A 17,498-nucleotide genomic window follows, 5' to 3' on the forward strand; every position below is an offset into this window, starting at 1 on the left:
TCCTAATATGTCCTTACTCTAAATGCTCCAAACTTGGGACACTTGAGTTCCAGGCCCCCCTTTTCAACTGACTAGATGTTGGGGTGAGTGAGAGATCTAAGAGATTTTTGTGCCCAGACAGCTTGGATGAAGGCAGATCCCTGAAACAAACACTGATGTCATAAGCCACAGCGAGGGCCAGGGATAAGGGAGGCTCTGCTGTGTGCATAATGCTTTAACCGTGTCCTCAAAGGGAACAATGCAAACTCCAGAACAAGAAACTCCTGAGCCCTACAGAGGCATTCTACTCCATTCTCTTACTCACAAAATCAATAGACAAATCCTTACTGAATGGGTACCAACAACAAATATACATAACTCTATGTAGATGGGGACTGGTGTACTGGTGTGCCCATCCATCCCCACCCCCAGCACAGCCTGCTGGTGCCAGGACAGGCTGGACACCATCAAGATATGATGGGGAAGTCTCAACCCAGACCTAGGAGACAGTAAGTATCATTGGGGCTCTTGCAAGGTTTACCTGGTTCCCAGGAGGATGCTCAGATATCGAACTCATATCTGTTTTTCTCTAACATACTGCACTTGCAGAAGTTCCTCAGCTGCAGGTGAATTCCCCCACCCCAGCTTTTATGTGCTTGTGTAGGATTCACTGGCTTCCCTCCCCACCTGGCTTATGATGCTAGACCCTCTACCACTGTTGCTGTGCTGAAAGCCACACAGCACAGGAGGCATGGCACTGGCAGGATGTCCAGAAGTCATTGTTACAGTGCTTACTTTGTGCAGAGGTGACAAAGAATTGGGGTGAGGGAAAAGCCATTCGAAGGCAGGAAGGAGGAGGGCACAGCATCCACATCTGACACTTGTACTTATTAAGTAGGAGCAGGTCTGATATTTTACCAAACTGATGATGCTTTTACAAAGGAGATAGCATCCAGCCTTCTCAGCCCTCCTGCTGCCACTCTGTTGGGACTAAATACCCCAATAATACAAGTTGTGTTGCAGCCCAGCAGAGGGGTATTTGAAAGTCATTAAATGATGGCTGCATGTTTTTAATTTGGGGGAAAGTATTCTAATTATCAAGTGGTTCCTAAATGATGAATGTCAACCATTTCCTTTCATCTGGAAGGAAGGGCAATCTCATGCCCATTCTATTGCTGCTAGTTTTTCCACTTCATACCATCATGAATATTGAAACATATATTTATGAATATCATGAATATTGAAACATATATTCACGATGGTACTGAGCCATGGGTTCCAGGCTCCCCTTATCAACTGACTGGATGTTGGGGTTAGGAAGAGGTCTAAGACATTTTGTGCCCAGATAGCTGGGATGAAGGCAGATAAGCAAACATAGTGTCATGAGCCATAGCTAGGGCCAAGTATAAGGGAGGGCCTGCTGTTACATATATTGAAACATATATTCATGATGCTATTGAGGTGGAAACATTAGCAGCAATGGAATTCATGGTTTTATATAGTTTAGAAGGCCTAGAAGCACAGATATCCAGAGCCCTGAAACCTGGGTAATCTGGACGTTTCTGGCTATCCATAGGTAAAAGTCATTCTCTCTCATACTATGTCAAATAGAACCAGTGTCAGCTCTCATAATGTTGGGGTGGGGCACATGTATCAGTCAATGGGTGGCCACAGAAGGGCAAGATGAGTGTGCCATAATAGAGGATGGGAACCTCTGCAAAGCCTTGAGTGGGATCCTTGTGAAGAGTAGCCAGAAGGGAGGAAGGGTGCTGTGGGTGCAGGTCGGAAGGTATGGAGGTGGGAAGCTGACCAGCACCTGTCAGGAAAGAGGTGGCTCTGCCAGCTGGGGACAGGGTGCCTGCTAGGGGTGGGGCTGTGGGGATAAAGGAAGGGAAAGAGATGAAGGCAGACTGTGGAAGCTTTGTGTTAGCTCAGGGTTTGGATTCAATGTGGGAGAGAGGGGCATGGGTGTCAAGACTGAGGGTATACATATGTAACTAACCTGCACTTTGTGCACATGTACCCTAGAACTTAAAGTATAAAAAAAAAAAAAAAGACTGAGAGGTTTGAGCAGGGAAGTGATTACGATCAGATTCGCATTTTAGAATGATCTCTCTGGTGCCCATGTGAAGGACTGATGGCTACAGACCAGGAAAAGGGTGGGAAGATCATTTGAAATGGCTCCCAGGACACCAGCTGCACCTCAGGATCATTGGGCACCTTTATCAAAGGACAGATCAATTGAGCCTGGCTCTCTCTGTGTGGGGTGGGGTGGGGCTGCTCTTGGACAGCCAGTCTAGCACTTGTCTGAGGGCAGGCATTTGAGAACTGTGGAATTTCAAGGCTCCTGCAGTACTCCAGGTGAGTCAGAAACAAGGCAAAGACAGTGGAATGGAGAGGGCTACACAGACATTAAGGACACAGAGTCACAAAACCTGGTGACCTCCTGGATGGGGGAGTGATAGTGGGAGTGAGAGAGGAGAGAGGCGTCCAGGATACCTTCCTGGTTCTGGCATCAATGTCAGGGTAGATGGCAGTGCCATGTGCTCAGATTAACAGAACAAGATGAAGAGTGGGCCTAGGGAGAAGGGGGAAGAGTTCAGTGTGGAGTGTGGTGAATCTGAATTCTTGGGGATGCCAGGTATAGATGTCTAGCCATCAGCTGGAGCATGAGCCAGAAGTTCTGCATGGCCTGTGCTGTGCATCCATGTATAGGCAGCAGTCCAAGGCACAGGTGGGCATGCCCTCCTGGAACTAGCACAGTGTGAAGGGAGGAGCAGCTGAGGACACACAAATAAGGGACACCCAGAAAGGATGATAGAGTTTGGCTGTGTCCCCACCCAAATCTCAACTTGAACTGTAGTTCTCATAATCCCCATGTCATGGCAGGGACCAGGTAGGAGGTAATTGAATTATGGGGTGGTTACCTCCATGCTGTTCTTGTGATAGTGAATGAGTTCTCATGAGGTCTGATGGTTTTATAAGGGACTTTCTTCTCTCTCTGCACTTCTCCTTGCTGCCGCCATGTGAAGAAGGATGCGTTTGCTTTCCCTTCTGCCATGATTGTGAGTTTCTTGAGGCCACCCCGGTCCTGTGGAACTATGAATCAATTAAACCTCTTTCCTTTATAATTTACCAAGCCTCGGGTATGTCCTTATAGCAGTGTGAGAACAGACTAATATAAAGGGCATGGAAAATCCAGGACCATCAAGAAGAAAGACCTGACCAGTGTCCCCAAAGCAAGGAAAACAGTTTCAGGAAGGAAGAAATGGACAGCCACATCAATGTGACCCATTGGTCAACTACATAAAGATCTGAAAGCATCCACTAACTGAAGACAGAGAACACTGGGACCACTGCCCATGCAGCTGCAGGGACAGGAAAGGACTGTCCCTGGGTAGGAAGCCTGTCTGCTAACATGTGGAGAGGGAAGGGTGACACAGTATGTGTGGACTGCTCTTTCAGGATGCTTAGTGTGAACAGAAGAACATAGGGAGGCAGCTGCTCATGGACTAGGCCCAAGGGATGGTTTTTATTATTGTTGTACTAAAATTTTAAGATGAAAGAGATCTGAATGTGTCTCTACACAGCAGGAAGAAAAACACTGGAAAATAAAAGCCTGTGGATGAGGACAAGTGACGGAGAGACAGGTGGGGTTAAGTTGTCCCCACCTGAATGTGGGCAGGAAGGTGACCCAGGCCCTGAACAAAGGACTTGTCTCCTACTGAAGCAGGAAGGGAAGTCATGCCAGAACCTCTACCAACGGAAAGTTTTCCCAATAACATGCTCATCATCCAGGACACAGCTGAAATAGTGCCTCTTCCAGAGAGCCTTCCCTCCCCTGCAGAGTCTGAATAGGAGGCCTCTCTTCTCATCAAGGCAACCTGGGCTCACCTCTCTCAGTGTTCCTCACTCTGACCATCATCACTGCTCTACTTAGCGGTCTCCCTCACTGGGCTGTGAACTCCTGGAGGGAAAGAGTAGGTCTTATTCTTCACCTCCTCAGCATCTGGCATGGTGTGTGGTATAAAGTGGACATTCTACAAGTGTTGCTAATGAAGGATAAAGCAAGGGATGGATGGATGGATGGATAGATGGATGGACAGGTGGATGGATGGACAGGTGGATGAATGGGTGGATAGATGGGTAAATGGACAGATGAATAGATGAATGGCTGGCTGGTTGGCTAGGTGAATGGATAAATGGGTAGATGAATAGATGGATAAATGGATGGATGGATGAATGGGTGGATGGATGGATGAATAGATGAATGGCTGGCTGGATGGGTGAATAAGTGGATGGATGGATGCATCGCTAGATGGATGGATGGATGAATGGATGGATGGATGGGTTGGATTGGATGGATGGATAAACAGATAGATGAATGGATGGATGGATGGATGGAGCCTCATGCCAACTACCCTGTTGGACCCATCTGGAACCATCTCCACCCACCAAACAGCAACACCAATGGCACTGACAGTCCCAGGAGCTTATGAATTCCACAGACAAGGGAGATGTGAAATGCCCTCCTATAGCACAGACACACTCTCTCCTAACACCCTTTCACCTTTCTCTCCTCTCCCAAGCTGAGTAGACTATATTCCTTAATTACTTTTTACAAACTTCCCCCAATCCACAGCTCCAAACACTTCAGCCCTCTTCCTCCCTCTCCAGTATGGGGGGCCAGAGGTAGGTCTACACGAGGGATTTGACTGAGACATCTAAGTTCCCCAGCACACACTTTTTGGCCAGTCACCCTCTGCTAACAAACAAGGCGTGCTGAAAGCTGAATGATAGGTACAGAACCCTCAGATGGTCGTATCCCCCACTCTTTGCCATAAAGCTGTTCTCTCTCAGAGAAGGACACACAATTCAAGGGATAACTGAAGATCCAGCCCTGAATCCATCAGAAAAATGACTCCTGCACTGATAAATAAATGATGAGAGTTTCATGGAAGTTACAATGTGAGAGCTGCACAATTTCCTCATGAATTTAATTCTGTATTCTTTCTGCGCTTATTCCTTTCCCTTTAAAAGAACATTCCCATGCACTTCCTCTGTTTTCAAGTAAGCATAGTTAACCTCTGACTGTTTATGTTCCGGTGACAGCATTGAGGATCAGGAATGCTGCCGGCCATGGGCTCCAGCCGTCGGCACAGAACAGGGAATTAAGAATAAGTGGTGAAAAGAGAGCCATCAGAAGATGAGATGGTACAAGAAGAAAATATTCTTCATCTTGGACAACTAATTCCATTGAGCAAGACAGTAATTTTCTAGGGCCTGCCAGAGCTTTAAATTCTACTTTTCAAATTATCCCCTAGCAGATCAATTCCCAGCCTGGGTCATTTTTCTGAAGAGCTGTTCTGTTAGTGTGCTTCCATAATGACAATGATCAGCCCCCTCAAATAACATATCCATTAAGGAGTGGACTGGTGTAGGTGTTAGGGAAGCAGAGTGGAAAATCATTTGCATGCAGGCCCATTCAAATAATCTTATCCTAGGAACCAGTGTTCTCAAAGTCCAAACCTATTTCCTCCCCATTCTTCATATTCTGCTCACGCATGAGAACTAAGTAGTCACAGCTTGGAGAAGAGAAAAGAGTTCACAGAATGATTCCAATATGTTTGTTTTTGGGGGGAGTGGGAGGAGAAGAAAACATTCCATTTTAATCAGCCCTCAGAAGTGGCATCCTTTAGCAGTTCTTCCTAAATTTAATTCAGAGTGGAGCACTTATATATAAGAGATAGCCTTTGTGATGGTTCATTTTATATGCCAGTTTGACTGGGCCACAGGGTACTCAGACATCAATCAAACATGATTCTAGGGGTATGTGTGAGGGTGTTTCTGGATGAGATGAACATTTGAATTGGTAGACTGAGACAAGCAGATTACCCTCCCTAAGGTGGGTGGGCCTCATCCAATTTGTCCAATGCCTGAATAGAACAAATAGCTGAGTAAGGGAGAATTCTCTTCTCTCTGCCTGACTGTCTTCAAGGACGTGGATCTTCTCCTGCCTTTGGACTTGAGCAGACAGGAAATTACATCATTGGCTCTCCTGGGTCTCAGGCCTTTAGACTTAAGCTGGAACTATACTACTGGCTCTCCTGGGTCTCCAAGGAGATACCTATCTATCTGTCCTCCTGCTGGTTCTGTTTCTCTGGAGAACCCAGACTCATACAGTCTTCCTAAAAATACTAGAGTACTTTACAAATGTGAATGACACATATGCTGAATGTCCCTCCACCCAGAGGATGCTCTTTCTCTCTGGATCCCTGAGTTCTGGTAAGCAGTCATCTAGTGGGGAAAGCACCTGGGTCCTGGGGTCAGAGCAGACCAGGGGCAGGGTCCTGGCCTGCAGTACCCCCTGGGGCTGACACACCCTCTCCATTACTGGCATCACCGTCACTGGCACCCATTTTCCTGCCCAGCATTTGTGACCTCAGGAACAAATCAGGAGGAGTATTGTAATTTGGACTCTGGTTCTCAATGAAGGCTGAGATCCCCTCTTTCTTTTCTCCTAACCAAAAACTGTGTGAGTAACAGGGATTGAGAGTGCCCCTCTCTTCTCATGCAAAGACACCCTCAGTTTCTTTATAAGGTCTTGACACTTCTGGTTTGGTTACTTTTGAGCCTGCTGAAACCTACCAGTTTTACTGTGAGCAACATAAGAAGTCTTTAAAAAGAATCATAAAAATGAAAGAGGTGTGAAAAGCAATCTTTTGGGTTATTATAACTGAAAAGTCATATTCTAGAGAGGAAGAGTGTATCAAATGTAGCCAAATCAATTTAGAACTAAGGCTGGGTTTCCATTTCTCTGTAAACTGCTATATGAGGCTTTGGAGGAAGAAAAAGGATATACACACAAAAATTGATTTTGTATGCACTGACTTAGTGAGAGGGTCCTGGGGCTAGTGAAAAAGGGCATCCCTGTGAAAGTTTAAACAGACGGATTTGCAAATGCTCACTGGAATCAAGACCAACCCCAAAAGCATGCCCATCCTCCATCCTGCAGTAGCACTATCAGTCTCACATGGTTGCCATTAAAGCCATTTTAGAGGTCATCTAGTTTGACCCCTTTGTCTCCCAGAGGAGGACACTGAGGCTGTGAACAACATAAGAAGTCTTTTAAAAGAATCATAAAAATGAAAGGTGTGAAAAGCAATCTTTGGGGTTATTCTAACTGAAAAATCACTCTAACAGCTAATCACAGGGCTGGGACTAAACTCTGAGGCTTCTGACTTGCAGTCCAATGTTCTTGCTGTTGTCTCTACTTAGCCTTTTCCTACCATATTTCAGTTTGTGAATGACTCAGATCTTCATGATATTATATAAACTCTTTAGGGAAAGAACAGTTTAACATGTTTTTGAGTCCTTATATCTGTTAAAACAGGGCTGAGCAAATAGCAATGCTGGAATATTTAATGATTCAATAGAATACAATCCTCATGTTTCCCCCAAAGCCCACACCTCCCAGCACACAGTCTCAGTGTGATGGGGCCAGGGATCCTGACTTGTCACTTAAAACATCCCAGAATCCAGGCAGTCAGTTCTCAAACATCTATTGACCACCGCATGGTCTGTACCACATTCCTGGGGATGAAAGGTATTCTTGGAGAGAACACAACCTAAGCCAGATATTGGTTTCATGAAACAGAGTTAGTTCTAGAGACTGGAGTACACATTGCCCTCAGCAGTAAAATAAAGAGAGAAGGATGTGGTAAACTTGAAGAAGTCCCTTCTTGACCCACTTAAGAGCTTTTCCCCCCTTACTTCTAAACATTCTCATCTAGCTTCCCACAGGCTGAGATCAGCCTTTTTCTCATCACCAGCAATGCAGGTAAACCACCCAACTGTTAAAATATCTCTGTGCATCAATAACCCTTTATGCTGAGGAGGGAATCTTTCCGTCTCATGAGAGGAAAAACTTCAAAAAACCTTGCCTATTTTTAAAGACAAAGTTTAGTCATCTGGGCATGTTAGTAAAGGATACGAACTAAAATGAACCGTGTCAGTTTCTGAGGATCTGTTGATGAGGGGCCTTTTAACCATCTCCTTACTGCCAACACACACCTCACCTTACACCACCTTGAGTTTCCCATCATCTCAAAATCCCTTGCTCTTAGAATGACCTGATATGGTTTGGCTCCGTGTCCCCACCCAAAATCTCATGTTGAACTGTAATCTCCAGTGTTAGAGGTGGGGCCTGGTGGGAGATGATTGGAACATGGGGGTGGTTTCTAATGGTTTAGCACCATCCCCCTAGTGCTGTCTCCTGATACAGTTCTCACAAGTTGTTTAAAAGTGTGTGGCACCTTCCCCTTTGCTTTCTCTTCCTCCTGCTCCAGCCACGTAAGATGTGCCTGCTTCCCCTTCACCTTCCACCATGATTGTAAGTTTCCTGAGGCCTACCCAGAAGCAAAAGCCTGTACAGCCTGCAGAACCATGAGCACAATTAAACCTCTTTTCTTTATAAATTACCCAGTCTTAAGTATGTCTTTATAGCAGTGTGAGAACAGACTAATACAGACCTTAACTCATAAATGAACATGTCCAGTGATAGCCTAACTTATCCAGGGTAAGACAAATGCCCAGCAACTATTTGAGCTAATATTGTATCTAGACCAAGGCATCAGCACAACTGTACTTCAGGCTGGTCCGTGCCCTTGCCACCAATGTCCATCCTGACATTGCTTCCAGGTGTGTGCCTGCACCAACAACAGATGGAGGACTCCTCCTGAGCCTGAGTCTAGAGAAGTTCTACATGTTCTGGAGATCCACCCTGAGCCAAGGTCAGGCTCAAACATTCTGAGGGCCCCCTGCCCCAATGATAGGTAGCTCAAGGACTGCCAAACATTTTCCAGAAAATGTTAGAAAGACTGACTAACCCGGACCCCAGGGCTGCCTGGGAATACCTCAACTGTCAAAGAGATGGAGCAGAAGAAAAGCACATCCAAACTAACCTGCCTCTGGAGGAGATGCCCGCGTGGGCCAGGAGAATAAGAGAAGGTCCCAGAACCAGCAAGCACTAGAAATAGCAGGAGATACAGACACACTGTGAAAATTACAACTAACATTAATAAGGAAACGTGATTGCTTTATAAAAATTCATCACTTTGCTTAAGTCTAGGAGTTTCAGACCAGCCTCGGCAACACAACAAGACCACATCTCTAAAAAAACAAATAAATAAAATTAAAATTATCTGGGCATGGTGGTATGCTCCTATAGTCCTAGCTACTCAGGAGGCTGAAGTGGGAAGATCACTTGAGCCCAGGAGTTCGAGGCTATAGTGAGCTACGGTGTGATTGTGCCACTATACCCAAGCCTGGGCAACAGAGCAAGACCCTATCTCAAAAACACCCCCAAAATCATTGATAACACATATGTCCATAAGAAGATCATTATTAAGTATTCCTTGACCTCTGTTCCAGCCTAAACAATCTCTGTTTGGGAAAACTTCAGCTCTTGGTTTTTAAAAAGAAAAGGGAAAGAGAGAAAATAATTTTAAAAAATAGATATGAAGAAAGAAAAATTATAATCTGTTTATATATTCACTCCATCAACAAACAGTGCTGGGCACTGGGGGAAGGAGCGGACAGGCATTCATTCAACCAACAATGGGAACCTGAGTCTTCCAAAGAGTGAGCTTACATCTAGGACATTCAATAGTTTTTGACCTGCAAATTGTGACCTTACAGGACATTCAATAGTTTTTGACCTGCAAATTGTGACCTTATAGTAGTATTGCAGGATCTGGCCAGCAGCCCGCAATGCAATGGGGCTCTTTCCTTGTTCCCAGGTGGATCGGCAGGTCGAGAAATAATAGACATACACAAGATAGTGAAAGCTGGGTCCAGGAGGGTCACCACCTTCTGGTCCCATGAGCCGCCAATGTACTGGATATGCCAGCATTTATTATTAAGTTTAGTGAGGGCAGGGGAAGGTTAGTGAGGGATTTAGGGTCATTTGATTATGAGGTGAGATGGTCACATGGGGATGAAGTAATTCTTTAACATAACATCTGTATGCAGTACAGTATACAGAGATAAGAATTTACAATATAGTGTGTGCATCAGTAATTTCTAACAGAGCCTTAAAACAGAAACACAGTCTTTCTATAACCTATGATTAGCAAGATATTAATCAGCAGTAACAGTTGCAGCAAAAGCTGGTTACAAACAATCCATAGAAACAGGATGTGAAGCTAGACAACCAGTTAGACTAGAAATTCTCAGAAGGGAGTATGTCTTAACCCTAAAGAGGCCTAGAAGAGCCGTGGCAAGATGAGGGCGTTTATAGGCCTGTCTTATCCATATGAACAGGCGCCCCTCATGCGTCCGTTTATAGGCTCTCCACAAGGGTCGCATTCCATTCCCAGAGCTATGAACATCTGCTTTTCTGGGATAGGAATCTTGGTGATGTTAAACCTCCCTGACTTCAGGTCCGTTCACAGGCTCTCTGCAGGGGGAAGCACATCACATGCTGTTGGCTCATTCTGGCAGTCCAACCTGGCATTGTCTTTACACAATCCTGCATGCAATTTTGTATTTACAATAATCAGAAGCATTTCATCTTTTATTCTGTAGCAATAGTTTCAGGGGGTCTCCCTACATAGTAGGTCCTGAAATCAATTTTAAGGGTCTTGACCAGCACCCTTTAGAAATGAAGTGGAACAGAAAAGAAAAGTCCATACACACCCTGCATGGTAACGGTGAGTATTGTTTTGTGTGGTTTTACTAGTTTTATTTGTGCATACAGGCTAGTTTGCAATGTATATTCCAGTGGGTCACAGTCAAAAAGGTTTGAAAAACACTACTTTCAATACACTCCACCTTGTCATGATACTCAAAAACATACGTACTTTCAATAATGTAGCTGGTGCTTATAGGCACAGGTTGTAGAGTGAGAATGTATACTTTGAATCCCGACTCTGCCATCCTCTAGCTGTGTAACTCTGGGTAAGTTCCTTAACCTCTCTGTGTCTCAGGTTTCCATATATATATATATATATATATATATATATATATATATATATATATATATATATATATATATATGCTATGTGATTAATATTCAACCAGTTCCCCGAAGAATGAAAACATATTGCTTCATACAGAGGCAATTCTCTAAATTCCTAGAGCCATGTTAATATCTGAAAATATTCAAGCCTATTCTTTCTCCTAACTTTTGCTAGAATAAAGTGTCTTTGATGATTTTGATGATGACAATTGAACTTAGGAGCAATAACAAATATTTCTAAATAGAGTCCTTCTCTTGGCCACAAGGTCAAGCTATGAAACAGTTGATGGTAAGCCACAAACCTCTAGAGAATTAAAGTGATTTCTTCAAGAGCCAGGCTTGCAGGGGAAATCTAAGGGCCGGCAGCCTTTCATGCACAGACAGCTCAGCTCTGGCCTTTGTTCTAAGAGACAGCAGCCAGCTCCTGAGGGAAGCTCTCCACTGGTCTCTTTGGGGGTGTGCAATCAAGCTTCAAAGAACCCCCTGATTTGGGCACAGGGAAGTGCATGTTTCTGGGCACCCATGAGACTAAGCAAAAGCAAAACCCAACCACCAAATGGGAACACCAAGGATTCTAAGATTTATGGGGAAAGAGCTCAGAGCAAAAAAGGAGGCTGAAGACAAATTTTCCAATAAGAGACAATACAAAAAATTCATCAAAGAAAATCAAAGGTTCCCAAATTAATTTTCTTGTTTGTGAATTTAGTGCTATGTCATTCCTTAATTCAGTGTATTGTCAGTCATATATTTAAGAGGTGGGAGGGGAAGCTGATTACTGTTTACCATTTATTAGGCAAAATAGATTTTTCACTGCAAAAGCAGTACCCCTTGGGAAATACAACAAAAGAAAACCAGAAAGCAAGACTGGGCTAGTTAGTATAGTCATACTTCTGCCATATAGCACGATATACTATTTATTATAGCAAATTTATACCAACAAGGCACACTTAAACCTAGTTTTTTGAAGACATGGGAATGAGTTGGGGGATGCAGAATTCATCCATGTGGGCTAAAGGCTTAGTATGCAGATTCTATTACCCAGAAACTACATTGAACACTGCACTCATGATTGTAAACACAGTATCAACTCTGAATATTTGGATGCTAATCAAATTAGGTAACTCTTGCCTAGAAATAGTGAGAATGTTTTAATGTTTCAAGAAATATTCAGAGATGAATATAAAGTCGGCTATGTCTGAACAAGTAAACGTCACAAAAATAAGTCTTAATAGCATAATTTAGACTTGATTAAAATGGATAAAGACCACAGATGTGGAAGTCATTGCAGTCCCCATTTGATGCCAGAACTGATATTTTCCCCTCTCTTGATTTAATTCGCTTTGATTACCCAATTATTCCTAAATCCTTTCACTCAGTTTCAGCTCCAATAAAACTGATAACAATGCTAACTCATAATGTGATTTTCACTCCAGTCTCATGAAACTGCTCTATAAAAGCATGCCCAGCAACTTCACAAAATTCTTCCAGATTGTGGTATTATATCATGGGAAAACAGAATAAACCTTCATCTATTCAAAATCAAGCAAGCACAGAAAACCACTCATCAGGAAAATCTGAGGATTCACTTCATCAACAGGAAGATGGTGGCAGGGAAGTCTTGCATTTGTAAGTTTTAAGATTATCAATTGTCGAAACATTTGAAGAAGGCATGGGTAATTTTTTTGTTTTTGAGATAGGGTCTCACTCTGTCACCCAGGCTGGAGTGCAGTGGCACAATCTCAGCTCACTGCAGCCTCTACCTCCTAGGCTCAAGCGATCCTCACACCTCATCCTCTTGAGTAGCTGGGACTACAGGTGTGTGCCACCATGCCTGGATAATTTTTTATGTTTTTGGTAGAGACAGAATTTTGTCATGTTGCCCAAGCTGGTCTTGAACTCCTGAGCACAAGCGATCTGCCCATCTTGGCCTCCCAAAGTGCTGGGATTACAGGCATAAGCCACCAGATAATTTTTTAACTGATTAATATGGTCAAAGATGTGGCTCTTTTCTAAAGCACATCCTTATTAAGTATAATGAAAGCTACCTGTCTAGCTAACCCTGTGATGCTAGACAAGTAACTTGATCTTTCTGGGTGTTAATATCTTATCACTAAATGAGGCATATGGATGAGTTTTTTTTTTTGGGGGGGGGTGTCCCTTCCACTTCTAAATTCTACAGTTTATAGTCTTTTCTTTTACAAATTATTTTAAGTATTTTTATTTTATTTTTATAGAGACAGGATCTCAACACATTGCCTAGGCTGGTCTCTGACTCCTAGGTGGCTCCCTCCTTGGCCTCCCAAAGTGCTGGGATTACAGGCGTGAGCCACCACATCCAGCCAGTCTCTTCTTGAAAAAACCTCCCAAAGCACAAGCACTTAGACTGAAGCAGCCCAGAAGACAATGCATGGGGCAATCTCAACATGCCTATGGCTATTTGTTGTTTTTTATGAAATCAAATTTCCTTTCTTTTCTGTGAGCAACAGCTTTAGTGCAATACTAAAATACGTTTTCCACATGGATACAACTTCACAGTTTACAATGCGTTTTACATATACAATCTCATTTCATCCATACAACAACCCCATGAGATCAATGACAGTTTGATAGGATTAGTTCTCACAGTTGCTTTATGAAAATCCAACTGTTAATAGTAACAACTTTCAAACACTCTTTTTTTAGTGATACTGAATATTCCTTCCCTTACATAGCTCATTTGTAAACTAGAGTCCAGATAGCATGTGAGGTTTTCAATCTCTATGCAGATTCTCAAGTGCCACTGGGACTTTTGCGGGGGGATTGGAGATGGGGAGGAAGAACAAGACACTATGTGAAACAGAAGATACTATGGGAAATAGAAAGCGCTGGCTGACTCCAGACAGTGTGTGCAAGAAGACTGTGTTCTTTCACTACCCGGGTTATCCACGGTGCTGGTGACAGGTGAACCTCAGTACATGCTTAGTCAAGCAACAAGATTAGGGCTCTGGGTTTTGTTGTTGTTGTCGTACTTTGTTTTTTTTAAAGATTAGCTTGAGGAAAATCTTGCTCCTATCACCTTTATAAATTTATCATGAAAAACTTTCCCAGATGTTCTGGTAGCCACCAATTCTGTTCTTTCCCCCCATGCTGTCCTTGGACAACAACAGCTAATTATTGATCAGTTATTCGGATTTGTGCCAGCAAATCCTTTATCTGAATATAGTGGGATAACTTACTTAAATAGTAATTTATTTTAAATACAAAGTGTTTTCATCTTTTTTTAAGGCTATTTAAGTCAAATGGGATTTTTATAAGAATATTCTGAAAACTATGTGATATGGTTTGGATCTGTGTCCCCACCCAAGTCTCATGTTGAACTGTAATCCTCAGTGTTGGAGGTGGGGCCTGGTGGGAGGTGATTGGATCATGGGGTTGGATTTCTCATGAATGGTTCAGCACATCCCCTTGGTGCTGTTCTTGTGATAGTGAGTGAGTTCTCTTGAGATGTGGTTGTTTTAAAGTGTGTGGCACCTCCCCCACCCTCTTGTTCCTGCTCTTACCATGTGAGACACCTGCTTCCCCTTCACCTTCCACCATGATTGTAAGGTCCCTGACGCCTCCCCAGAAGCCCAGCAGAGGCTAGCATCATGCTTCCTACACAGCCTGCAGACCCGTAAGCTAATAAAACCTCTTTCCTTATAAATTACCCAGTCTCAGGTATTTCTTTATAACAATGTGAGAATGGCCTAATACATTAAGAAATAATATATAAGCATATATAAGCTGAAACTGTTCAGGAATAACAAAATTACAGAATGTTATTGCTGGATAAAAATCTTAGAATTTACTGAAATAATTTCCCTCATTTTATAGTAGAGAAATTTGAGACCAAAAAATGTAAACAACTGTGCCAGCTCCCACAGCTCTGAGTGACAAGAGGGAGTAGAACCTGGGAGCCAGATCTCTAATCTGGGTTTCCTTCTATTCTGAGGGCAGCAAAACAATCCTCTGAGGTGGGCCTGCAATACTTTGCCCCCTACTACTGGAATGGCATCTTGACCTGATGGCACTTGTACTTCAGACCACTACCAAAAGTTATCTCCCAGAAAATCACAAAGACCATGAAATATGAAGAATTCCCTCTAAACAAGGATGAAACATAAAGGATTTACTTATAAGGATGACGATATGAACTCATCCAAAAAGACTTGTATAGAGTATGTCATTCTCTGACTATAAAAATTTGGGGAAACATTATTCTTCTGATGCAGAAAGAGAGTTGTTGTTTTTCTCCCTCTTCCAATCAACCATCTCTTAACAGGGTAAGACATAGAACAAAAACAAAAACACCTTGCTGTAACAAACCAACAGGGATTCAAAGTAAAATTACAGAGGTAGCATAATTAAATATAAAGAGGTAGCCCAGTACACACCCCAACTATCTTGGAGATATCTGCACACCACTACACATGGATCAGCCTCATCCTTTTGAATGGCTGCAGATAAAAGGAGTGCACTTACACCCGCACTCTGCTGTCTACCTATTCATTATTGGTTATCTTTGTTAGCAGAAGAAAGCTTCTTCTGGGGGAAGCAGAATGGAGGACAGAGACCCCGGAGAGCTTCTCCAGGGATAAGAGGGAAACAACAGGACCTCTCTAGGTTCTACTCGCAGGTCAGAGCACTGGGCTTGAAGTGGTGCTCAGGACTGGGGAGGGGCTACCGTGAGTAGGACTGAGTTCCTAAGGGGCAACCTGAGCCCTCTCACTATAGCAGTGCCCAAGATGCTGGCTAGATTATATTTAATTTAGAGAAATACAGGAAGGTGACATTTCTTGTCTCATTCTCCAAACTAAGCATCAATCCTGGTGTGTAAGTTTGGTGTGAACAGGTATGAATCCTGGTAGCAGCTATTCTAGAATGCCTGAGGCCTGGATGAAAGGCATTTCTGAGGACAAGATGCATTCCACCAGAAGACTAGTCTTTTTTAATAACATCCTGACATATCTTTGACTAGCAGAGACTTCTCTGATCTTATTTTGTCACTCATAAATCATGGATAATTTGGTTTCTCCTGTGTGACCTCTGTGCTTACAGGGTTCCACATCAAATCCACTGGAGTTGTGTCTCTGAGTTCTAACATCTGGTCTACACAAGAACTCCAGCACTGTGGCTGGACAGGACCACGGCGTGCCTGGGACTGGCAGGTGGGCTTCACTGATGGCCCATTGGTGATAAGCTGGACCTGGACACTTTCAGGTGCAGGCCTGAAGGGGCTGCTCATTTTATCTTTTACTGAGTCCCATGGTCCTGGAGGGCCATTTCTCTCCCTAAGTTGGACAGCCCTGGGACAGTGCCTTTAACCAGACAGAGAGGTCAGTGATGTGGATGCTGCTCTGTGTGGAAGAACCAGCCTCTGAACCCAGTGCTGTGATTCTTATATAAGCACAGCTGTGATGCTATGACCTTGGGCTGCAGCAAGGATGTGGACTCCCTGCTATCCCTCCACTGGAAAGCCTTATATAAAATCTCATAGCACGCTGATTCCCAAGCATGGTCAGACTTTCTCAGGAGCACCTGTACATGAGGCACCTGAGCCAAAACAATTCCTAACAGTCTATTCAGAAACCATTGAAACTATGTTTTTGAAGATTTGCTAATTATTAGTGTTAATGATTAAGGGACAATTCCCCATATATATGTTAACTAAACAACAACAATAAAAGAAATACAATACAAAAGTGTATACAGCATGATTCTTTTTTGAGGGAATACACAAAAAAGACGTGTGCACATGGAAAAAAATGAAAACAAATATACCTAAATATTAACCATGCTATTTAAGATTGAATGTTGATGGGTGATTTTTCTATTTTTCCTTACATATTTCTGTTTCTTCCAATTTTCTACAATGAACATTCATAATCAAGAAAAAAATGCTATTTAAAAAAATGAACTCTAATGGCACAGACTGTTAAATTGAGGGTAGGTCAGAAATGGCCCATGTGGCCCTCTATAGACACAGTCTCAAAGATTCAAAATGAAGCAGTGAGGTGCCTCTAGAGGCATGTGGCACAGAGGACTAGCTGTGTTTTGGTGGGTATTAAATTCCACAGAGGTACCTGCAAATAACATAATGTCCCTTTAGTGCCCCCTCTAAATCATCTCCCTGCCTGAGAAGTGGCGTTCACTCTGAGATGCCCAAGACTCTGAAGGTCTGCAGTGCTGACATGTAGAATGTGCAGGTGTGCTTTATAGCTCTCCTCCCCAAGAAGGTAGCCTGTGTGCTGCAAATAAATGGTGTTCACACTAGGCAGGTACCATGAGACAAGGAGAGAAATAACACAGATGGATGCCGAGGAAAAAGCAGTCGTCTGTTCAGGATTGATAATGAACCATTACATCCTATCTGAAGCTACTTAATTTCCGAAACACTGTTTTATAAATATGCTGTCAATGGAGTTAGTTGGTTTGTGAAGAAAGGAAGTAAATCAGAAATGGGTTGACGAAATACCACCAG

The 17,498-nt window shown here is 43.2% G+C and overlaps 1 protein-coding gene across 13 annotated transcripts in view; it reads right to left on the minus strand.

Annotated features, from left to right (window-relative positions):
• The window catches only part of SUSD4 (sushi domain containing 4), a 144,405-nt gene that overhangs the window by 72,990 nt on the left and 53,917 nt on the right, over nucleotides 1–17,498 (minus strand). For 5 of the 13 annotated variants that reach the window (NM_001410929.1, XM_017001583.2, XM_017001585.2 and 2 more), the window contains one exon: nucleotides 2,907–3,070. The exons of the other annotated variants lie outside the window; for them this stretch is intronic. In NM_001410929.1, coding sequence (NP_001397858.1) covers nucleotides 2,907–3,070 — 164 coding nt within the window. The remainder of the gene's footprint in view (nucleotides 1–2,906; nucleotides 3,071–17,498) is intronic. 13 annotated transcript variants of the gene reach the window in all.

This window comes from Homo sapiens, chromosome 1, assembly GCF_000001405.40.
Source record: "Homo sapiens chromosome 1, GRCh38.p14 Primary Assembly".
NCBI classification, from domain to species: Eukaryota; Metazoa; Chordata; class Mammalia; order Primates; family Hominidae; genus Homo; species Homo sapiens.